The sequence below is a fragment of the Homo sapiens genome, chromosome 1, assembly GCF_000001405.40.
Source record: "Homo sapiens chromosome 1, GRCh38.p14 Primary Assembly".
In the NCBI taxonomy this organism is placed as follows: Eukaryota; Metazoa; Chordata; class Mammalia; order Primates; family Hominidae; genus Homo; species Homo sapiens.
The window spans coordinates 160,156,628-160,179,324 of NC_000001.11; the positions used below are offsets into that span (position 1 = coordinate 160,156,628).

At 45.9% G+C, this 22,697-nt stretch overlaps 1 protein-coding gene across 3 annotated transcripts in view, besides 4 other annotated features; it reads left to right on the forward strand.

The window, feature by feature from the left end:
• Positions 1-22,697, forward strand: part of ATP1A4 (ATPase Na+/K+ transporting subunit alpha 4) — a 35,378-nt gene that overhangs the window by 5,025 nt on the left and 7,656 nt on the right. For 2 of the 3 annotated variants that reach the window (NM_144699.4, XM_011509582.2), the window contains 14 exons: positions 2,375-2,509; positions 2,782-2,899; positions 7,529-7,797; positions 9,901-10,099; positions 10,341-10,450; positions 10,651-10,785; positions 14,624-14,813; positions 14,958-15,130; positions 16,954-17,090; positions 17,484-17,634; positions 17,952-18,120; positions 19,465-19,619; positions 19,852-19,975; positions 20,892-21,037. In NM_144699.4, the coding sequence (NP_653300.2) occupies positions 2,375-2,509; positions 2,782-2,899; positions 7,529-7,797; positions 9,901-10,099; positions 10,341-10,450; positions 10,651-10,785; positions 14,624-14,813; positions 14,958-15,130; positions 16,954-17,090; positions 17,484-17,634; positions 17,952-18,120; positions 19,465-19,619; positions 19,852-19,975; positions 20,892-21,037 (2,211 nt within the window). Of the gene's footprint in view, positions 1-2,374; positions 2,510-2,781; positions 2,900-7,528; positions 7,798-9,900; positions 10,100-10,340; positions 10,451-10,650; positions 10,786-14,623; positions 14,814-14,957; positions 15,131-16,953; positions 17,091-17,483; positions 17,635-17,951; positions 18,121-19,464; positions 19,620-19,851; positions 19,976-20,776; positions 21,038-22,697 lie in introns of those variants that run through there. The other variant, NM_001001734.2, reaches the window with a different exon arrangement.
• Positions 5,792-5,881: an enhancer, noted in NCBI's record as "active region_1914". NCBI's record gives its function as "activates an Ori minimal core promoter by ATAC-STARR-seq in GM12878 lymphoblastoid cells {active_cell/tissue: GM12878}" and the evidence as "EXISTENCE:reporter gene assay evidence [ECO:0000049][PMID:35858748]".
• Positions 9,443-9,975: an enhancer, noted in NCBI's record as "H3K4me1 hESC enhancer chr1:160135860-160136392 (GRCh37/hg19 assembly coordinates)". NCBI's record gives its function as "activates a minimal SCP1, AML or CMV promoter by ChIP-STARR-seq in naive H9 embryonic stem cells {active_cell/tissue: H9 hESC(naive)}" and the evidence as "EXISTENCE:reporter gene assay evidence [ECO:0000049][PMID:30033119]".
• Positions 12,440-13,434: an enhancer, noted in NCBI's record as "OCT4-NANOG-H3K27ac-H3K4me1 hESC enhancer chr1:160138857-160139851 (GRCh37/hg19 assembly coordinates)". NCBI's record gives its function as "activates a minimal SCP1, AML or CMV promoter by ChIP-STARR-seq in naive and primed H9 embryonic stem cells {active_cell/tissue: H9 hESC(naive and primed)}" and the evidence as "EXISTENCE:reporter gene assay evidence [ECO:0000049][PMID:30033119]".
• Positions 17,260-18,459: an enhancer, noted in NCBI's record as "CDK7 strongly-dependent group 2 enhancer chr1:160143677-160144876 (GRCh37/hg19 assembly coordinates)". NCBI's record gives its function as "activates an origin of replication core promoter dependent on BRD2, BRD4, P300/CBP, MED14 and CDK7 cofactors, with strong dependence on CDK7, by STARR-seq in HCT116 cells {active_cell/tissue: HCT116}" and the evidence as "EXISTENCE:reporter gene assay evidence [ECO:0000049][PMID:35650434]".

Sequence of the window (22,697 nt, forward strand, 5' to 3'; positions counted from 1 at the left end):
TTTGAGATGCTATCTCTACAAAAATAAAATAAAATAAAATAGCTGGTCTACATCTGTAGTCCAAGCTACACAGGCAGCTGAGACGGGAGGATTACTTGAACCCAGGAATTTAAGTCTGCAGTGAACTGTGACCAACCTGGGCAAGACCCTGTCTCAAAAAATAATAATAATAATAAAAAGAGGCTAAAGAGGCATGACAACTATTCCGAGGGTGGTGGCTCCCACCTGTAATCCCAACCGTTTGGGGGACCGAGGCAAGAGCACTACTTGAGTCCAGGAGTTCAAGACGAGCCTGAGTAGTATAGTGAGACCTTATCTCTACAAAAAAATTTAAAAATTAGCTGAGCGTGCCTGTAGTGCCAGCTACTCAGGAGGCTGAGGTAGGAGGATTGCTTGAGCACGGAAGGCAGAGATTGCATGCCATTGCACTCCAGCCTGGTGACAGACAGAGACGCTGTCTCAAAAAAAAGACAGGGACGTGGCAACTAAATGCAATATCTAACCCTAGATCTGATTCTGTGCCAGAGGAGAAAGTAATGCTTTATTTTTACTTTTTTATTTTGAGCTTTTATTTTAGATTCGGGGATACATGTGCAGGTTTGTTATATAAGTAAACTGTGTGTCACAGGGATTTGGTGTACGAATTATTTCATCACCCAGGTAATAAGCATAGTACCTGATAGGTAGGTTTTCTGTCCTCACGCTCCTCCCACCCTCCACCCTCAAGTAGGCCTTGGTGTCTGTTTTTCCCCTTCTTTGTGTCCATATGTACTCAGTGTTTAGCTTCCAGTTATAAGTGAGAACATAAGGTATTTGACTTTCTGTTCCTGTTAGTTTGCTTAGGACAATGTCCTCCAGCTCCACCAAAGATAATGCGTTAAAGGATGTATTGGGTCAATTGGCAAAACTGGAATACTGACAGATTAATACAGTAGATTAAAGTATCAATGTGAAACTTACTGAAATTGATAACTACATTGTGGTTGTTTAAGACAATATCTTAATTCTTGGGAAATGCACAATGAAGTTTTTAAGATAAAAGATCATGATGTAGGTAACTTACCCTCAAGTAGTTCAGGAAAAGAGTATACACAGAGAGAGAGAGGATGAAAACAAATGACAAAGTAACTGGGGTGAAATGTTAATAGGTGAATCTGGATAAAGGTTATATAGGTGTTCTTGGTGCTATTTTTATTCTTGCAACTTCTCTGAAAGTTTAAAATTATTTTCAAGTTAAATGTTTTTTAAAGGTACCTGGAAAGAATACGACGGTAAACAGAGGTTCCTAGGCACGGGACTGGAAACTTGCAAAGGAATAGGCTCCACATTTTCCCTATAATATGATCATGTTCCAGTAGTATAGCCCAGGATTTCCTTCTCTTTTTGGTATCACTTAATTCCTTCCTTGGGTAAGAGTTTTGGGACAAAGTGTTTGGGCAGTTTTGGAGACTAGGAGTTTAGGCATGGTCGGTTAGCTTTTGCTACCTAACAAACTACCCTAAAACTTAGTGGCTTAAAATAGCAAGCTCCTGTTTCTCATAATTCTGTGGCTGTGCTGTTGTTCCTCAGCTGGGGCTGGATGGTCTTAGATGACCTCATCCACATGTCTGGGCCCTTAGCTGAGATGACTGGGACAGCTGGGGCCTTTTTCTTCGTGATCTCTCTTTTTACAGAGAGGTTAGCTTGGGCTTGTTCATAGGGTGGCAGAGGATTCTCAGAAACAGGAATGCAAGCCCCAGCATGAAAGCACTTTTTTTTTAATTTTTTGAGACAGGGTCTCACTCTGTCACTCAGACTGAAGCGTAGTGATGTGATCACGGCTCACTGCAGCCTTAACCTTCTGGGCTCAAGCGATCCTCCAACTTTAGCCTCCCAAACAGCTGGGACTACAGGTGCATGCCACCACACCTGGCTAATTTTTTTTTCAATTTTTGTAGAGACAGGGTCTCCCTATGTTGCCCAGTCTGGTCTTAAACTCCTGGGTTCAAGCAATCCTCCCACCTCGGCCTCCCAGTGTGCTGGGATTACAGGTGTGAGCCACCAGTCACGGCCTGAAAGCACTTTTTAAACTCCTCTTTCCATCACATTCATTCTATGGGCCAAAGCAAGTCACGTGGTCAAGCCCAGGTTTAGGGGTAGAGAGATAGACTCCACCTCTTAATGGGAAGAGCGTCAAAGTCACATTGCAAAGGGCCCTGCAAACAGCATCATGGGAATTTGCAATCTGCCAAAGACACCTTCAAGAATGATGTGGTGGGTGACAGTAAGAAAGGGGAGTAAGGAGGAGGGAGACCAATAACAGAAGGTTTTAGGCTAAGAGTGGGATGAGGAAAGCCAAAAGTTTTGGAAATGATCCTGCACTATCCTCTCATAGCAAGCTCTGGTAATTCGAGGAGGAGAGAAGATGCAAATTAATGTACAAGAGGTGGTGTTGGGAGACCTGGTGGAAATCAAGGGTGGAGACCGAGTCCCTGCTGACCTCCGGCTTATCTCTGCACAAGGATGTAAGGTGAGGGGATGCCGAAAGCTATGTGAGGGACCCAAGCGTGATCTCATGGCAGGGTAGACACCTGGGCCGTTAGAGAAAGTATAAGCTTATTACTCAGAATCTTGAGAAGTTACAAGTGCAGATTTGATGTTAGAGACAACAGATGTGTAAATTTGTTTCTCTCAGTCTGTCAGTGATGATGTTGGTGACCAGATGAAGACATACTATTTTTGTAAATAAATCTGCCTTTTTTCCTATGCTCACCTTACAACGCGTCCCCTCTCCCATCCCAGGTGGACAACTCATCCTTGACTGGGGAGTCAGAACCCCAGAGCCGCTCCCCTGACTTCACCCATGAGAACCCTCTGGAGACCCGAAACATCTGCTTCTTTTCCACCAACTGTGTGGAAGGTGAATATCGAACCATAAGTAGCATAGATTCAAAAGCAGGCACCAAAACATAAAGATTTTAATAACTGTCTTCTAAAGGTAGCGAGGTAGGTAAGAGCCAGTAAAAAGTCGAGCTTCTCCATCACGAGCTGTATGACCTCTGGTGAAAGGTCAAGGTCATCATTTCCACATTCGCACAGTGATGACAGTAAAAGTCGTTACTCTGTAGATTTTCGTGTGAATTGAGATAATATATGTAAAATGCCCAGCACAAGACCTAATACATTGTAAGTGACCTACAATTATTAGCTATTATTTTAGCTTGTGAATGGACTATGCTGTTTAAGCTGAAAATGGCACAGAGGGGAGGAAAATTGTTCAGCCCTGCTAAGTCATTCTTCTCTTAAGGTAAGCCCTAACTTCTAACTAGTCCCCTATCCAAGAGAAGATATTGGCATTGGAAACTTGAATTACCAGAGGTGCCACTTAGACTTTACCACTTAAACTTTGGCTTTGCTCCTAGAATCTAGGAATCCTTGAACTGGGAGACAGTTCTGGCAAAGTGGTAATAAAAAGGGACTGAACATCATTCTGTCAATCTCTCCTTTGCCCTTTCCCCTTAAGGAGGCCTGAAGACTCCATGGAGCACACTTGAAAACTATTATTCATGCTTAAGAACAAATGTTTGGTTATCTAAAAATAGTTCTTTTGTTTGTTTTGTGTTTTTTTGAAACAGAGTCTCTCTCTGTTGCTCAGGCTGGAATGCAGTGGTGTGATCTCAGCTCACTGCAACCTCTGCCTCCCAAGTTCAAGCAATTATCCTGCCTCAGCCTCCCGAGTAGCTGGGATTACAGGTGCCCACCACCACGCCCAGTTATTTTGTGTATTTTTAGTAGAGATGGGTTTTCACCATGTTGGCCAGGCTGGTCTCGAACTACTGACCTCAAGTGATCTGCCCTCCTCGGCCTCCCAAAGTGCTGGGATTACAGACGTGAGCCACCATACCCAGCCTAGAAATATTTTTTATTTGAATGCATAGTATTTGTTAAATATTATAAATATTATCTCTAATTCCCACATGCGCACAATACCAGATATTATCCCTATTTTACATGTAGCAGACTAAGGTTCAAAGAAATTAAGCACCATATCCAAGAGTACAACTCAATAGAAAGGAGGCGGGTCAGGGATTCTAATGTAGGTCTGTCTCCATATCTCGTGCTCCTTCCACAGACCCTGCTCTGTGCTGAAAGATTGCTATTTAATTTGAAAATACCTTAAAGAAGAAGCGTAATGTTAAGACAGAATAGACTATGAGAAAGAATCCAACTAGAAAATAAAATACATATATTAAAAATGTTTTAAAATTGATTGGACAGAAGCAAGTTAGCAAGCTTTCCCCAAAAACACTAGATGTCTACTATTAGATTTTAGGAAAAAATTTGCCCAAATTTACCCTTACAAAGTAGGGTTTTCATCAGCTAAGTATATGTTCAGATAAAGGGTATGGAGGAAAGTGGATGGTGGCATTTCGACTGGGAAGCAAGGGTCTGTTTAGATAGAAAATGGTTTTGTAGGAGGCTAAAAAAACCCAACATGTGGCCAAGAAGGTGGAGCTAGGTAGAAGGAGCTGGGCGGAAGGACTTTCAGTTGAGGAATTTCTCAGCAATTCACAGACCGATAGCATTTACCCTAGATCAATTTGCCCTTTAACCTTTACCCTAGACTTTTAACCTTTGCCTTAGACCAATTTGCAAATTAGTAGCATAACTTTAACCTTTACCCTTGCCTCCCATGTCTCATCACCGTAGACCTTGACATGGCTGTGGCACAGACTTCTCTTTGGGTTCTCATGCATCTTCAAGGGAGCCCAAGCTATTTCTCTGGCAATACATGGAAGGTGTATGAAGAAGCCAGTCTGGCCTGGGGTGCTGGATGCTTGGCCTTCTCAGCCTTCCCTGAGGTTGACATCAACCCAACCCCATCTCTAGACACACTGAGATTAATTATTAAATCCCGTTTCTCCAAGTGTGAGGAAACCATAGCAGAAGGAATAAAATAGAAGAACTAGACTAAACCATGACACAAGATATATGTAGGTGACACCATACACTACCCACCCTCCTCCACCCGGCCCAAAATAGGAAACTCCTCAGCATCTCTCAAGTATTTCAGCATCTTCATTCCATAGGACCCAATATATGCCTTTGGCAACCAGTTTGAAGCCCATCTATAGAATGCCTCGGCCTGGGAATCTTTTCAGGATTCCTCCTCCACATAAACACTGACCTGACCTGTCTGCTCCTCGAGTAGGACCCTGCTCTCAGACTCATACAGCTAAAGGCAACCTTAGAAAACGGAGACCACCACGTGCAGCAATGTTCATGGGAGCTCCCAGATTAGAGATGCTCCTACTAAGTCACAAGTATGAGTCTATATTGGTCCTACTGGAAACCCTAAGTTCATCTAAATGATGAGAAGAAAGAGAAAGAAACTAATTTTCAAGTGCCTATGATGTACCTAACCTTCTAGACTCTTAAAAATATTCAGTCCTCACAGTTTAGTAAGTGCTTTCATTCCATTTCGAAGATGAGGAAGCCTGACTCTCAGCATTTAAGTAACTTGCCCCAAGGAAAAGAGCTAGTAATTTAGAAAGCTGAACTTCCGGCCCTGAGTCTTTCTGCTTTTAAAATAAATGCAGTTTCAGTGATATGTTGCCTAAGTGATTCTGACTCTGATTTCAATGGTAGAAATTTCAGTCATTATGGTAAAGCAGGAAGAATTACTTTAAGAAAAGAATTTTGTCATGCCCCTCATTTCAAGGTGAGTGGCCTGCATCATGTGTGTGTAAAGCCAAACATGATGTCCAAGCTGCCCTTCTGACTGGGGCAGTGCTGGTGGAGAGGAAAGAGGGACCTCATAAGCACAGAAGCCCAGCTGTTATGGCCCGTGCTACCCAGCAGAGGTCAGATTGGCTCCAGCCAGCAAAGCAGGGAGGGGGCGCAAGTTACAGCAGGATTTCTCAACCACTCACATTTGGGGCTGGATAATTCTTTGTTGTGCGGGACAGGAGAGCTGTCTTGTGCGTGGCAGGATGTTTAACAGCATCCTGGCCTCTACCCACTGCATGCCAGTAGGAGCCTTCTCCCACCCCAGTAGTGACCACCAAAAATGTCTCCAAGCATTGCCAAATGTCCCCAGGGAAGGGGGTTGGTGGGTAGGGATTGCCTCCAGTTGAGAACCACTGTGTTAGGGGATAAGGGGATGTTGGAACATAGGGCTCTACCAGAAGGGTAACCACTATTCCTGGGATCTAGAAACTCCTCAGCTGCTGAGGGCAAGATAAGAACTATATAGGCAATAGAAGATACTCAGATTAAGTATAATAAAGGCCTTCTTGACAGTGAAGGAAATTAGGCAATAAAATTGGGTATTTCAGGAGAACTGTGAGACCTCTTCAGAGATTTTTCAGACTAGAAGACCTTTATTTGTATAAACTAAATATGAGGAGAGCAGAACATAATGACCTCTCAGAGGGCCTTGAGTCTCCAGTTTGTTTTTGACCATTGACAGCTTGCTCTTTGTGGGAACCAAACCAAACAGCTTCCTCAATTCAGACTCGGCATGTCTTGGGTGACCATCTCTGATGGAAAAAACAAGAAACAGCTTTTTTTTTTCTCTACACTCACGCTGAACACAGAACACTTCTGTGTCCAACATGTGTAGACAGTTCTCCCCACCAACAACCAGTTCTCCAAAGGACAATGATTGGGTGTCCTATAATTCAATTCAACTCTGACACAATCCACCTGGAGATAGCATCAGATCCCACAGGTTAGGGCTCAGCCCCACAAGACAGTCCCTAACTCTAGACCCCAGTCACAAGTCCTAGGTTATGGCCTGGCTATAAATTGGGGTTCCCACGACTCCCTCCTCAGGTTTGATTAATTTGCTAGGATGGCTCACAGAACTCAGGGAAACACCTTACTTAGGTTTACCCATTATTATAAAGGATATTACAAGGATACAGATGAGCAGTCATATGGAAGAGACGCACAGGACAAGGCACGTGGGAAGGAGCATGGAGGAGCGTCTGTGCCCTCTCCTGTCCAGGGTGCCCTCCAGTAACCCTCCACATGGTCATACACATAGACACTTTCCAAACCCAGTCCTTTGAGGTTTTTAATGGAGATTTCATTACATAGGTATAATCGGTTACATTATTAGCCATTGGTGATCAACTCAACCTTCATCCCTCCTCCCTTCCAAAGAGGTCAGTCCATGAACTGCAAGTTCCAACTCTCTAATCACATGGTTATCTGCCCTGGCCACCAGCCCCATCCTGTGGCTATCCAGGAACCCACCAAGAGTCACCTCATTAGAACAAAGATACTCCTATCACCCAGGAAACTCCAAGGCATTTAAGAGTTCTGTGTCAGACACTCCTATCACTCAAGAAATTACAAGGGTCTCAGGAGCTCTGTGTCCAGAACTGGGTCAAAGACCAAATATTAGAACAAAAGATTCTCCTAGCACCCCTATCTTTAAGGGTTTTTAGAAGCTCTATGTCAGGAAGTGGGGGCAGAGACCAATATCTATACTTCTTATCATATCACAACATCACATTGCCCTCTCCTGCTTCATCCACAGGAACCGCCCGGGGTATTGTGATTGCTACGGGAGACTCCACAGTGATGGGCAGAATTGCCTCCCTGACGTCAGGCCTGGCGGTTGGCCAGACACCTATCGCTGCTGAGATCGAACACTTCATCCATCTGATCACTGTGGTGGCCGTCTTCCTTGGTGTCACTTTTTTTGCGCTCTCACTTCTCTTGGGCTATGGTTGGCTGGAGGCTATCATTTTTCTCATTGGCATCATTGTGGCCAATGTGCCTGAGGGGCTGTTGGCCACAGTCACTGTGAGTAGACAGGGTGGAAAATGGCCTCAGGGCAGACAAACCACCCCAGGGAAAAGGGATCACTAGCGTCTCTTTTGTTGTTGAACCTTTCAAGTGCAGGGTCTTCCTGATATGTAAATAGGTATCAGGAATAATTTAGCTCTCAATATTACACTGACTCCTTCTGCCCATATATTTCGGTGTCTTCTCTTTCCTCAATGAGAGAGGAAGCAAGTTTCAATGGAAAGTGCATTGGATTATCAGTCACTGAGAGTGAGTTCTAGTATTGGCTAAATCACTTAACATCTCCAGACCTCAATTTATTCATCAGTTTATGGAGGAAGATTAATTTGGAATTATAGAATCCTACAGGAAAGGACTTCAAAGATCATATAAATTCAACCTTTCAACCAGTGCTGAATATCCTCTATAAAACCCATGGGAGATGATTATTATTTCTATTAATTGGGAAGCCCACCCCTTTCTGTCTCAATTCGTTTCATTGTTGTCTTGCTCTATTTACATTTCACTGTGTTAAGCAGAACTATAAATCCCTGTTTGTCCTAAGTTTCCCAGCTGAAGAAACACAAAATAAGTCAATTCTTTCTCTTCTACAGACTAGCCCTTTAGATTTTTGATGGTAGCCATTATGTCCCCTCAAACTCTGGTGGTAGCAGGTGAAATAATCCCTCTTCCCTTAGCCATTCTTCCTATGACATGGTCTGTAGGCCACCTGTCTTGATGATCACCTGTTGAGGGTATGCTCTAGTTTGTCAATATTCTTAAAAGAGAAATGACAATAATACTTGGGGTGTGTTTGGACTAGCACAAAAATGTAGGGACTAGTGATATTATGTAAATACATTATAACCCCTAATCCTGTTATTAGAAGCCCATACTTAGATAACCACAGCCTAAGAATTCATTAGCTTTTAAAACAATCTTGCTTCACACTTGACTTACATTGCCTTCACAATCAACAAAAGTCTTTTGGTTTAAATGATTTTTCAAGTCCTTTTCAATGCTGTGATATTATTGTTATCTCCTCCACGTTCTTTGTTTAAACTATTGGTCTGCCGGGCGCGGTGGCTCACACCTGTAATCCCAGCACTTTGGGAGGCCAAGGTGGGCGGATCACGAGGTCAGGAGATCGAGACCGTTCTGGCTAACACGGTGAAACCCCGTCTCTACTAAAAATACAAAAAAAAAATTAGACAGGCATGGTGGCTGGCGCCTGTAGTCCCAGCTACTTGGGAAGATGAGGCAGGAGAATGGCTTGAACCTGGGACGTGGAGTTTGCAGTCAGCAGAGATCACGCCACAGAATGAGACTCCGTCTCGAGAAAAAAAAAGAACTATTGGTCCAACACCCCCTCCACACCTAGCATCTTATACCACCATAAAAGATTAGCTATCTATGTGGTCCCTGGAAAGATTGGACTTAAAGAGGTGTGGCCTAAACTTGAATGAAAAAGAGATTGCTGAATAGAAAAGATGCAAAGATCCTGAGGGAGCAGAATATTCCAGGGGGGAATAAAGAGGATCCCTGTCTATGATACCCTGGTAAAGAAATACACTCTTTTTTGGCCAGGCACGGTGGCTCACATCTATAATCCCAGCACTTTGGGAGGCCAAGGCATGCAGATCACTTGAGCCCAGGAGTTCAAGACCAGCCTGGCCAACATGGTGAAACCCTGTCTCTACTAAAAATACAAAAATTAGCTGAACATGGTGGTGCATGCCTGTAGTCTGAGCTACTCGGGAGCCTGAGGCAGAAGAATTGCTTTAACCTGGGGGATGGAGGTTGCAGTTAGCCAAGATCATACTCTGCACTCCAGCCTGGGTAACACAGAGTGAGACTCTGTCTCAAAAACAAAAACAGAAAAAGACATTTTTTTTAAATACACTCTTTTTTGAAACTCTTACCATAAAGCACAAACCACAATCACTTTCCTAATTTCCTTTACCACAGCCAGAAATGAAATGTGTAAAGAGTAGGTGGGAACAAAAGGGAAGTAAGTACAAAAAATCAAAATAGCATTAAAAATGATCAAATATCCACAATGCAAAATGGTGTGAGTATTCCATCTCCCATGTGTATTCTCTCCTCTCTTCTTGGCTTTAGGTGTGCCTGACCCTCACAGCCAAGCGCATGGCGCGGAAGAACTGCCTGGTGAAGAACCTGGAGGCGGTGGAGACGCTGGGCTCCACGTCCACCATCTGCTCAGACAAGACGGGCACCCTCACCCAGAACCGCATGACCGTCGCCCACATGTGGTTTGATATGACCGTGTATGAGGCCGACACCACTGAAGAACAGACTGGTGACTAGTGGTATTGGTGGAACAAGAGTGGAGGGATTTGGGGGATGTGATGAGTGAGCTGAGAGAGAATGGTGAGTCCAGACAGACAGGAGGGAGCCTGAAAGTGGAGTGGAGAAGAGGGAGGTGTGAAGGAAAAGAAATGCTGCTCCTGTGAAGTATCTGGGTGCCAAAGAGGATGTGAATAACCGCTTGCTTAAAATTCTCATTCCCTGCTCACAATTCTTCTTTTCTTTCTCCCTAGGAAAAACATTTACCAAGAGCTCTGATACCTGGTTTATGCTGGCCCGAATCGCTGGCCTCTGCAACCGGGCTGACTTTAAGGCTAATCAGGAGATCCTGCCCATTGCTAAGGTGTCAGGCCCAAGGGGAAGAGGGTACCTCAGTGTCCAGGGTGTAACCTGACCTCTCCCAAAAAATCCTCTCCTGGAGCTCAGTAATTTCCCCCCAGGTACCCGCCCTCCCCATTTGTCCCCTCTCCATGTTGCCACAGGTATGCCTCATGCCCAGGTAGCATGCCCCTGGGGCTTACTATACAAACCCCATCCTGGCAGAGGGCCACAACAGGTGATGCTTCCGAGTCAGCCCTCCTCAAGTTCATCGAGCAGTCTTACAGCTCTGTGGCGGAGATGAGAGAGAAAAACCCCAAGGTGGCAGAGATTCCCTTTAATTCTACCAACAAGTACCAGGTACAGAACCCACAAAGGTAGGAGAATGGTGGTGGGGGGATGGGCTTATCACTGGAACAAGGGGAGCTTTGCCTCTGCCTTCAACTTCACCTCGGAGAAGCAGAGGAGCTCAGCAGAACCTGCATCCCAATTAACGGAAGACTCACATCAAGAGAACGTGACAAACAGGTAAAGAGAGGCGAAACAGGTGATAAAGGGAGAGGCATCAGTCAGTCCTATGCAGAGATCTGAGCTCTGCCACTTGGGGAAAAAGCGAGTCATAAAATCCTCTCTGAAATGTCTGTAGACAGCAGAAGCTGGTTGGTGAAAGTCATGTTAGAGTCACATGCAGCTGTTAGGAGGCCCCTCTGTGTCTACTAGGAGATTTGCCGCTGCAGTATTAGGTTGCATTTGCAGACACTTTATTTCATTAGCCATCAATATTTCCTTTCACCCCACACTTGGCTTGCAGTTCTAGTGACTGCCAGCGGGTAGGCGATCAGGAGTCTCTGCCTCCATTGGCGCCTGACCCTCTCCCCTGTGTGTCTTGTAACTTCTTTTCTTATAAGGATGCAAATCATATTAGATTAGGGCCTCCCCTACTTCTATGTAACCTTAACTAATTACGTGTGTTCGTGTTCGTGAAGTTTTTCATTTCCCAGGAACATTTTGGTCCACTCTCCGGGGAGGAGTGGACAAGAGCAGGGGAAATGCTGAGTGAGGGACCATGAAGGGACAGGAAAGAGTCTTTCTCTCCAAAGTAGAATCTGGGCAGACTGAAGAGAAGGTTATGGTAGGATGCAGGAACAGTGACATTATCAGAATTGGAGCTTTGCCAGGCTCAAGCTGAGTTCCACGGGGCAATCATGATTTGCTCAGGGAAGTAGATTCTTCAACTCCTTGCATTACTGAAAAGGCCAGACATTCAGGTGTGGGTAAAATGTCTCAGAGAAAATGACAATGAGACTCCCAAGTCTGCTGGTATCTTTTTTTTTTTTTTTTTTTTTTGAGAAGGAGTTTTGCTCTTGTTGCCCAGGCTGGAGTGCAATGGCGCAATCTTGGCTCACTGCAACCTCCACCTCCTGGGTTCAAGGGATTCTCCTGTCTCAGCCTCCAGAATAGCTGGGATTACAGGCATGTGCCACCACGCCCGGCTAATTTTTTGTATTTTTAGTAGAGACGGGATTTTACCATGTTGGCTATGCTGGTCTTGAACTCCTGACCTCAGGTGATCCACCCGCCTCAGCCTCCCAAAGTGCTAGGATTACAGGCGTGAGCCACCATGCCTGGCCTCTATATAAATTTTTTTTAACTGAATTACTCATCGTTTTACACTGAAAACTGAGCAAGTAAGGGTTAAATAGATCTATCCTTTTCTGTCTCAACTGGTTGTTAGTCAATGTAATAAAATAGGTCTCTTAGGCCCAAATGGCAAACTTATTCCCATTTTTTTCTGATGTTTAGTGGCCTCACTAGTCTGACAGGAATTCTGTGGCTTGGCAGGGCCTTTGACGGCAGCATAGCCTTTAACTGGAAAGAATTAGGTACCTCTCCGTCCATGTGATTCAAAATAAAAGCAAAACATATTCACAACATTTGTTGGGGCATCCAACAAATAGTGACTTTCTCTCAGATGACTATGTTGCTGCCTCTTCCGAGCTACCAAACATGCGGCTCAAATGGCAGACTTGTCCTCAGTGGTTCACCGAGTGTGACAGGCTGTCCCACTGGCCGCCAAGCTCTGGCAGGCACTTGTTCTGGGAGGCCCTCAGTTTGCTGCCTTCCTTAGCTTGCCCTAAAGGTGGAGACTCCAGTCTTTGCAAGAGACATCTCAGACTGCTGGCGGTTTGCAGAGCCTGGTCTGTCTCCCTCTGAGATAAAAATGAAACGAAGAAGATGCTCTGTTCCAGCATTTCCAGACTTCTCCCTCCGTCTCTTTTATATGTAATTTTCTATCAAGATGTGATTTTCTTCCGTGACCTCTGAGATTACTAGTAGGTCTTGCCATCACCTCCTGGGCCCTTCACTTATTCAACACATTTTACTGAGCACTTAGAAAACTGAGCTCTTTAAACTTTTTCCAGCTTTCTGCTTAAGTGAGTTACGGTTCTTCCTCTTAATTGCTTAAGCATATTTTGAATGTAACTGAACAAACGAACAGAACAGTTGTAACCACGTTTTGTGCACTGGTTTCCCACCCTGCTTACCCTGTGGGCAGTACAGTCCGGCCTCCTCTGCACTCCCGCTGTTCCTTTCAATGCATCGATTTTGTTCTCAACAGGCGACCTAGCGGGCATTTCCTGTCCATCACAAGAGGAACCCCATGGAGAGCTCCTTTTCATACATCAGAGATCAAGAGGAAATGCAAAACCCACATTTCTCTCTCCTTGCTGCGGGTTGTCCCCTCGGGTTCATTTCATGAATGTGCCCTTTCCCTCCCCCACCACAGCCACAAGGACTCCCATGCCCAACCACACTAGCTAGCCCCTCTCAGGAGACTTCTCACGCTTTTAGGAGACAGAGGCCCAGGGACTAGAATGACTAACTTATTTTTGGATTGTACTTCACAGTTTTCAAAGTATTTTCTACACTATCTCTTATAAAAACCCAATGAAGGGCCAGGTGTGTGGCTCATGCCTGTAATCCCAGCAGTTTGGGAGGCCAAGGTGGGCAGATCACCTGAGGTCAGGAATTCAAGACCAGGCTGACCAACATGGTGAAACCCCCATCTCTGCTAAAAATGCAAAAAATCAGCCAGGCATAGTGGCGGTGCCTGTAATCCCAGCAGTTTCCGAGGCCAAGGTTGGTAGATCACCTGAGGTCAGGAGTTCAAGACCAGCCTGACCAGCATGGTAAAACCCCCGTCTCTGCTAAAAATTCAAAAAATCAGCCCGGCATAGTGGCGGTGCCTGTAATCCCAGCTACTCGGGAGGCTGAAGCAGGAGAATCACTTGAACCCAGAGGCAGAGGTTGCAGTGAGCTGAGATCACACCACTGCACTCCAGCCTGGGCGACAGAGTGAGACTCCATCTTCAAAAACAAAAACAAAACACAACAAAAAACCCCATGAAGGAGGCAAGGCAGAGGCTTTTATGTTTTGTCGAAGGAACTAAGATTTTGCAAAGTTAAATGGACTGACCTGAGGTCATAATGCATTCTTGCTAGCCCCAGAACACAGGTCTTTGGACTTTTTTTTTTTTTTTTTTTTTTGAGACGGCGTCTGGCTCTGTCACCCAGGCTAGAGTGCAATAGCGCAATCTTGGCTCACTGCAACCTCTGCTTCCAGGGTTCCAGCGATTCTCCTGCCTTAGCCTCCCAAGTGGCTGGGATTATGGGCACATGCCACCATGCCCAGCTAATTTTTGTATTTTTAGTAGGAGACGGGGTTTTGCCATGCTGGCCAGGCTAGTCTTGAACTCCTGACCTCAAGCAATCCACCCGCCTCGGCCTCCCAAAGTGCTGGGATTACAGGCATGAGCCGCTACGCCTGGCCTTCCGACTCTTTTTCTTTCCTGTCTACTCTCTTTTCTTTCTTTGCCAGCCCCACTATTTCTGCTCTCTCGCCATCCAGTTGGCAAGGATGCAGGGGAAAAGTGAGAGTGCCTGGTTCTGCCCCCAGGGAGCTTCAGGCTGAGAAGATAATGGAGATTCCTGTGCAAATAATACCAGGCTGCAGTTTTCTGGAAAAAGGAGGAGGGGCTGGGTTCAACCTGGGGCGAGATGTGACTGGGGAGGGGAGGGAACAAAAGAAATGGGGGTATGAAACACATTTTTTTACCTTTGAAACCTTCCCCTTCTTTTTGCCCCTGATCCTTGGTCTCTCCTCCTGTCCCATCAGTGCTCCCTTTGCTCTCCCTAGATGTCCATCCACCTTCGGGAGGACAGCTCCCAGACCCACGTACTGATGATGAAGGGTGCTCCGGAGAGGATCTTGGAGTTTTGTTCTACCTTTCTTCTGAATGGGCAGGAGTACTCAATGAACGATGAAATGAAGGAAGCCTTCCAAAATGCCTACTTAGAACTGGGAGGTCTGGGGGAACGTGTGCTAGGTGAGGAGCTTTGGGAGAAGTTTTTAAAAGAATGGCATCAAAATGGTTATTATCCCTGGGGTGAGAAATCAAGGATGTTGGGGTAAGCAGATAGGAATGTAGAGTGCTGGATGACTACTGGTCCCTCCCTCTGTCTCTCTCCAGGCTTCTGCTTCTTGAATCTGCCTAGCAGCTTCTCCAAGGGATTCCCATTTAATACAGATGAAATAAATTTCCCCATGGACAACCTTTGTTTTGTGGGCCTCATATCCATGATTGACCCTCCCCGAGCTGCAGTGCCTGATGCTGTGAGCAAGTGTCGCAGTGCAGGAATTAAGGTAAATACTTGCCCAGACCAGGAGCCCCTCACCTGTCACAAGTTGAAGCATCTACTAGAAGGCCTTGCGCAGAGTAGATGCTTAATACCCTTAGTTTAATTGAGCGGATTTCTGTTTCCTTGGGCTTATGATTTTTAATTAATAGTAAGTTTCCTCTCCAGTTAGAATTCTACTTGCATTGAACATTAGAATCACCAGGGAGGCTTTAAAAATCGGATGTCTAGGACACACCCCAGACCGATTTAATTAGAAACTCTCAGGATAGGATCCTGGCAACAGTATTTTTAAAAACTTTCCTGGAGATTCCAATGAGCAGAGAAGTTTGAGAACCAGCGTCCAGCCCAGTGCTTCTCAGACCAACGTGCGTGCAGATCCCTCAGGGATTGTTTTGAAATGCAGATCTGGCTTCAGAAGGTCCATGGAAACCTGAGAGACTGCATTTTTAACGAGCTCCCAGGCGATGCTGTTGCTGCTGGTCTGCAGACCACACTAGGAATAGCAAAGTGCTAGAAGATGTCGTGTAAATGTGCTGCCGAGATGGGCGGTAAAAGGGTGAGGCTAGGAGGCCTGGGGCTCTGGACCAGGCAATAGTGAGAATGAGATATTGAGAGCTGAAGGATCTTCAATGGGTGTGAGCAGCTGCCCTAAGAGGTATATGCCCAGGTCTAAAAACTGGAAACCAAAAATCGGTCAGAGCAAGAGTGAAAGTTCAGCTTCAGAACAAACCCAGAGGTAGAAAATCCTCTTTGGTCAGGGTGGGCCTTGAACTTCATGGGATGGCAGCAGTAGAATTCTTCAAATTCTGAGGTGTTCTGTGTCCCATGTTTCCCAGGTCAAATTCTAAGACTCATCATATACATCTTTACAGCTTAGATATAGACACCTTCCGTGCTCATACCTTACATTCTGGATTACCTGTGTATTCTGGCTCCTAGACTTGGGGGATTGGAGGTATTTAAGGAGAACTAGGTGTTCTCTGTTGGAACTGGCTTTATGTTAGACCTGTGACTGTTGGCAGTTTGTCCAGGGTCAGTCTGGGCCATGTGTGCTGGGAGGGACTTGGGAACCCTGGGCAGTGGTTTCCAGGTAGTGATCATTCCTCCATTCCTTCATTCAGTAATTATTTGTTGATGGCTTACTATGTGCTAGGCATTGTGCTAGGGCAGGAAACTTTACAAGGAAGCCACCCTTGCAGAGCTCTCAGTTCAGTGGGGAAGAGAGATAAACAGGCAATCACCATACAGAGAAGTGTGGCAAGTGCTGAAATATGGCAGGAACGGAATGCTGTGAAAGCACGTGGCCTGGGTATTCATCTTTGGGTAGAAATGGGACAGGACTAGGTACCAGGTATCCAAAACCAAGCTGAAACCAAGGCACAGGGTGAGGCCACAGAAAGAAGAAAGGTAGAGTGAGAATTTCAATGCACTGGGCCTTAGATGAAATTTTGCTAGGCAGATGGATTATTCCAGACATTCCTTTATTACCACTTGTTCTATGTGTAGGTGTTTCTGTCTTTGCACTTAAGGAAGCAGAATAGCTTCTGGAGCAATTAAATGAAATTCTGAATATAGTCAAATCTCTGGCTTATTCCTGGTAAATCTAGGACCCAAATTGTCCTGTTTTATGGTCTCATGGTCTTGACCCACTCCCAAGGGTTGAAATCACAGTAGCATGGTTTTTGGTCTACACCACAAGTTCTTGGGAATGAGCGACTAAAACCCTTGTTGAAAAAAGCAGTGGTCTGTCAGTTCTCAGAGGAGAAAAATGAAGGATCCGGGCTCTGAAGATGATTCTGCTCCTCTTCCCTCTCCTTCCCAACCCAGGTGATCATGGTAACAGGAGATCATCCCATTACAGCTAAGGCCATTGCCAAGGGTGTGGGCATCATCTCAGAAGGCACTGAGACGGCAGAGGAAGTCGCTGCCCGGCTTAAGATCCCTATCAGCAAGGTCGATGCCAGGTGAGATCACTAAAGAACTCAAGATCTGCCATGTTCCCTCCATCCCCAGCCTGCCCCACCCAGATGCCACTTTACTAAAGTTCTTGGAGTCTCCTTCAATAGGTAGGATGTGTGGGGTTTACACTACAAAGTAAAACATAATAGGAAAATAAAGTGAATATGTCAGTGGGTTTTCAAAGGAAGCAAGATGAAGAAAGAGGTAAAGAGAGGAGTGGTTGGCAAAAGTGTGGGGAGGGAATAGGATGTGTCAATTTGGGGACAATATAGGGCTAGGGACAAGTGAGGAGACTAGGTTGAAAGAAGAAGCAATGAAGCTATAGTCAAGATGGGCACCAAGACCCCTGGTGAATTCTCAACACTCAAAACTAGCCTTTTGAAATTATTTTCCCTCAGTGCTGCCAAAGCCATTGTGGTGCATGGTGCAGAACTGAAGGACATACAGTCCAAGCAGCTTGATCAGATCCTCCAGAACCACCCTGAGATCGTGTTTGCTCGGACCTCCCCTCAGCAGAAGCTCATCATTGTCGAGGGATGTCAGAGGCTGGTAAGGAACGAAAAGGAGCCCCAAGGAAACTGGCAGAACTCCTGTGGCTTAGCCCCGTCCCAAACCAAGCAGAGGAACATGTGGGCTGGGCTAGAGGAGACTCCAGAGAGTACCCCATCTGGAACCTCCATGGTGGCCTTCAGTTTGGGGCTCCCTGAAAGTTTAAATATCTCAGGAGGAGTGGGAGAAGGACGGGAGCCCTAAATCAAGCATGATTACATCAGGAAACAAGGGATGCAGAAAGCGTACTGATCTTTGGGACTAGTTCTGGATCTGATGCAATAAATTGTTCACTCTCTCTGTCTGGACTTCCTCAGGGAGCCGTTGTGGCCGTGACAGGTGACGGGGTGAACGACTCCCCTGCGCTGAAGAAGGCTGACATTGGCATTGCCATGGGCATCTCTGGCTCTGACGTCTCTAAGCAGGCAGCCGACATGATCCTGCTGGATGACAACTTTGCCTCCATCGTCACGGGGGTGGAGGAGGGTGAGGAGGCAGGGTGCCCATGGTGGAGACTTCAACCCTGGACTCAGGTGGGGGTTGGTGTACATCCCCTCTTTCCGTTTTCCCATCATCCAACCTCCATGAGCCTGTACGGGCTCAGAAGAAAATCACTGTAAGACAAAATTTTGCAAATTAGATCAGCTGGTACATAGACCATCACTATCTGCAACCCCTTTTGATGAGATCGGAGAAAAGTCCCTTTTATTCATTTTGTTTTCCTATCAGGGAGACTGAGACTCTGGTATACATAATATCGTCATTGTCCTCTCACTGGACTTCAAGTAGGCCCACAGCCAGTTCCAAGATGTAGCCACACCCCTGGGACTATTCCATGCGCTGCAATCTTTAGGAGGGTCCCCTAGGAACCTGTTGCCTAAATAATGGTGACACATCAGGATCAGCTGGAGCTTGACCCGTGAATTGACTGCATGAGCCCAATTACACACCCTCTTCCCCAGAGAACTGTGAAGAGAATGCCCTCCTGCGAACAGGAGAGATCCAGAATTCTGCATTCCAGGTTCCCTGCTTTCTGCCTGGAGCTATCTTACTAAAACATATGGCAATCCACATCATAATCATGATTACCATTTCATTGAAACCTTGTATAATCCTGACACTTTGCTTGGTATTTTATATCCACTCAATTCAATAAGTTCGTTTGAACACTGACTATGTGGGAGGCACTATGCTTGATGCTGGGGATACAACAGTAGGGAGAACAAAGACACAAATCCCTGCCCTCGTGTAACTTAATTTCTAGTGGGGATGACAAACAATAAAATAATTAAATTATATAGTATGTTAAAAGAAGATAAGTGCCATGGGACAGACCAAGCAGAGAGTGCAGAGAGGGATTCGATCTTTGAAAAGGCAGTCAGAGACGGATGCAGCAATCTTGCAAGGCAGGAGGAATGAAGCTCACGGAGGTGAGGGTGCCCAAGGTCACAGCTAGCTATGGCAGAAGATGGGATTTGAACACAAGCCTGTCCCAAGCCCTGGCTGTTTCCATTCCAGCCTTAATCTTGTAAAGGCTTTTATACTGACATTCTCAAACATCGCAGGATTAACCAGGCCCAACCCTGCTAATTTTCAGAGATCAGATAACGTTAGCTAGGGTGAATCTAAGAACAAACAGTACACAGACGGCATGGCTCTGATTAAAAGGCACACAATTTAGAAACAATACTGGGACCCTGGAGGTCTAGGACCTCCAGACCCTTTCCTGGACTGTGACACTTCTTTGAGGTGGCCTGTCTGTCCCGGAGCTGGTTTGAGGGAGGCGTGTTCTCCCAGGGCTTCTCACAGGAGGTTGACCTTCCTCCCCAGGCCGCCTGATCTTTGACAACCTGAAGAAATCCATCATGTACACCCTGACCAGCAACATCCCCGAGATCACGCCCTTCCTGATGTTCATCATCCTCGGTATACCCCTGCCTCTGGGAACCATAACCATCCTCTGCATTGATCTCGGCACTGACATGGTAAGGGCCAAGCTGGTGAGCAAGAGATTCCCAGAATTCTGCCTCCTAAGCTCCCTGCTTTCTGCCTGGAGCTATCTTACTAAAACTCATGACAACCCACTTATGATCCAGCTCTCGCACCTCCTGCAAGATGGATTGAGGCTGCGTCAAGACAGAATGGTAGAGCTTGAATTACTGCTGGGTTTCCTTCTGAACTTTGTGACCCCTGTCATCCCCACCCTCCATCCTCCAGGTCCCTGCCATCTCCTTGGCTTATGAGTCAGCTGAAAGCGACATCATGAAGAGGCTTCCAAGGAACCCAAAGACGGATAATCTGGTGAACCACCGTCTCATTGGCATGGCCTATGGACAGATTGGTGCGCCCAGAGGAATGAGGGGTGGAGGGAGCAGGGAGTGGTTTCCCCTGCCTGGCAACGTGAGCCATCTCAGTTTGGAAGTCAGGGAGATATTTTCTCAGCAACAAACTGTGCTAGGCCCTGAAAACACAAAGAACCACTCATCTCTGATCTGTCCTTGACTTAGAGTCCAGTACAAAAGGAACAAACATACATAAAATGATAGCATCTCCAAGTGCCAAGTAATGAGTATAGACAGAACATACTACAGGATTACAAAGCAAGCAGGCTCACCATTATGAGGATAGCCAGAGAGGCCTTATGCAGGAAATAGGACTTAAACTTGGTGTGGGAGAGTGGGGCTTAGACTAGTAAGTGTATGGTCAGGTGTGGGAGACCAAAGGAGTGGGGAATTTCAGATGGCACAGTTAAAGAAGACTGAATAAACCAGGTTGGTAGAGCCCTTAGTCTTTATAAAGTAGTGAAAAATAAGACTGTAGACAGAGATATCATTTGTGTTGGGGTCAGCCTTGACAGACATTTGAGAGTCATTAGAAGTCTTTGTTCTTGATTTTCCAGGTGCAATGGTATTTCAGAAAATAGGGTGAGTGATGAACAGAGTAAGATCCTGTCTCAAAAGAAAAAATTGGGAGAGGGAATCAGTGGCCTCTAAAGTCCTTTTTAGTTTTAAGACCATGTGATTCAAAGCTGACTCTGGGTCAGAGTTTAGAAACAAATGTCAGGGCTTGAAGGAAAGTCCCACAGAGATGAGAGATAACAGGCTTAGGCAGCTGATGGCAAGATTCTTCCGCATTACTCTTCAGACACACACCAGCCCAGCCAGAAGCAAGTCCCAGCCCCCAGCCCTCCCCTGGCCTACCTTTTGGGGCCCTTCTCTGAACCAGGCTCCCCTGTCCTGCAACTCTGTCATTCACAGGGATGATCCAGGCTCTGGCTGGATTCTTTACCTACTTTGTAATCCTGGCTGAGAATGGTTTTAGGCCTGTTGATCTGCTGGGCATCCGCCTCCACTGGGAAGATAAATACTTGAATGACCTGGAGGACAGCTACGGACAGCAGTGGGTGAGTAGAAGGGATAAGGTAGGAGCTGAGACCAGTAAGAGTGAGAGTGACAGGGGAGAGTGAGTGCAGCAAATTTTTTAAGAGAGAAGAAGGGAAGCACCACACAAACAGAGCTGATGCCTTTTCTTCAGTCCTGTATGAGCCTTCTCACACTTGCCCTCAGTCTTCAGCCACAACAGCAAATCCTCTTCTGTTTAGCATAGGCTCATTCTGGTTGGCTCCTCCTGTCTGTTGTCTGGCCCTGCCTGTCTGAGTCCTTTGGCTCCTTGGAGTCTTTGTCATATCAACTTTTCTGAGCCGGTTTCTCTTTTCCCAGGTTTCAACCATGATTGCCCCAGAAATAAATGCTGGGTCCTCTCCTCTTATACTCTCCCTCCATGAGAGTTCAAATGATATGATTTAAAATTTGAGGCAGGGTGCAGTGGCTCACGCCTGTAATCCCAGCACTTTGGGAGGCCGAAGTGGGCGGATCACTTGAGGTTGGGAGTTGAGACCATCCTGGCCAACATGGAGATACCCCGTCTCTACTAAAAATACAAAATTAGCCGGGCGTGGTGGCGCATGCCTGTAATCCCAACCACTCGGGAGGCTGAGTCAGGAGAATCACTTGAACCCGGGGGGCAAAGTTTGCAGTGAGCCAAGATCACGCCATTGCACTGCAGCCTGGGCAACAAGAGTAAAACTCTGTCTCAAAAAATAAATAAATAAATAAATATAAAATTTGAAAACCAGCTGGGCACAGTGACTCACGCCTGTAATCCCAGCACTTTGGGAGGCTGAGGCAGGCAGATTACAAGGTCAAGAGATCAAGACCATCCTGGCCAACATGGTGAAACCCCATCTCTACTAAAAATACAAAAATAAGCTGGGTATGGTCGTGGGTGCCTGTAATCCCAGCTACTCAGGAGGCTGAGGCAGGAGAATCACTTGATCCCAGGAGGCGGAGATTGCAGTGAGCCAAGATTGCACCACTGTACTCCAGCCTGGCAACAGAGCGAGACTCCGTCTCAAAGAAAAAAAAAAACAAAACCCTGAAAACCTATTTTCTTTGTATATCCCTTCCTAATCATTCTAAACCTTTTTAACCTAGAGGATACCTCTCTATAGTTGTCTTTTCTAACAACCAAGATGAATGAGGCTCAAACTGAAGCCCTCTCCCCAACAATATGTGTTTAAGAATTTTAGTAGGTATGCTTTTTTGGTATCTGTGATACTCCTGTCCCAATTTCTAAGACAATGGGTCATGTGACATGTGACAGCAATTATTGCTAGAATTGTAGCGTCATAGAGGACACAGTAAATTTTCATCATTCTGTAGATGAGGAACCTGATCTAGGAAGATTCTGTAACTTGCTTAAAGTCCCACAGTGAATCCCTAAAAGAGCTGGACTTGAATTCTGGACTCTAGATCCCTGCCCAGCACTTTCCCACTTCACCACGATGTCTCCAAACCAAGCCAATTGCAGGTTTCTCAAATTGTGTTCAAATCTGAATTGTTGGGAAGGTGCCCCTCACATACAGTTGGCTTCCATTAGCTGAGGCTGTAAGGCCATCAGATGTCAATATTCCCAGCTATTAACACTGCTGCAGGATCCAGTGACACCCAAAGTTCTCATTGCTGTGTACCCTGCCAACATCTCAACTCCCAGCTCAAGCCCTT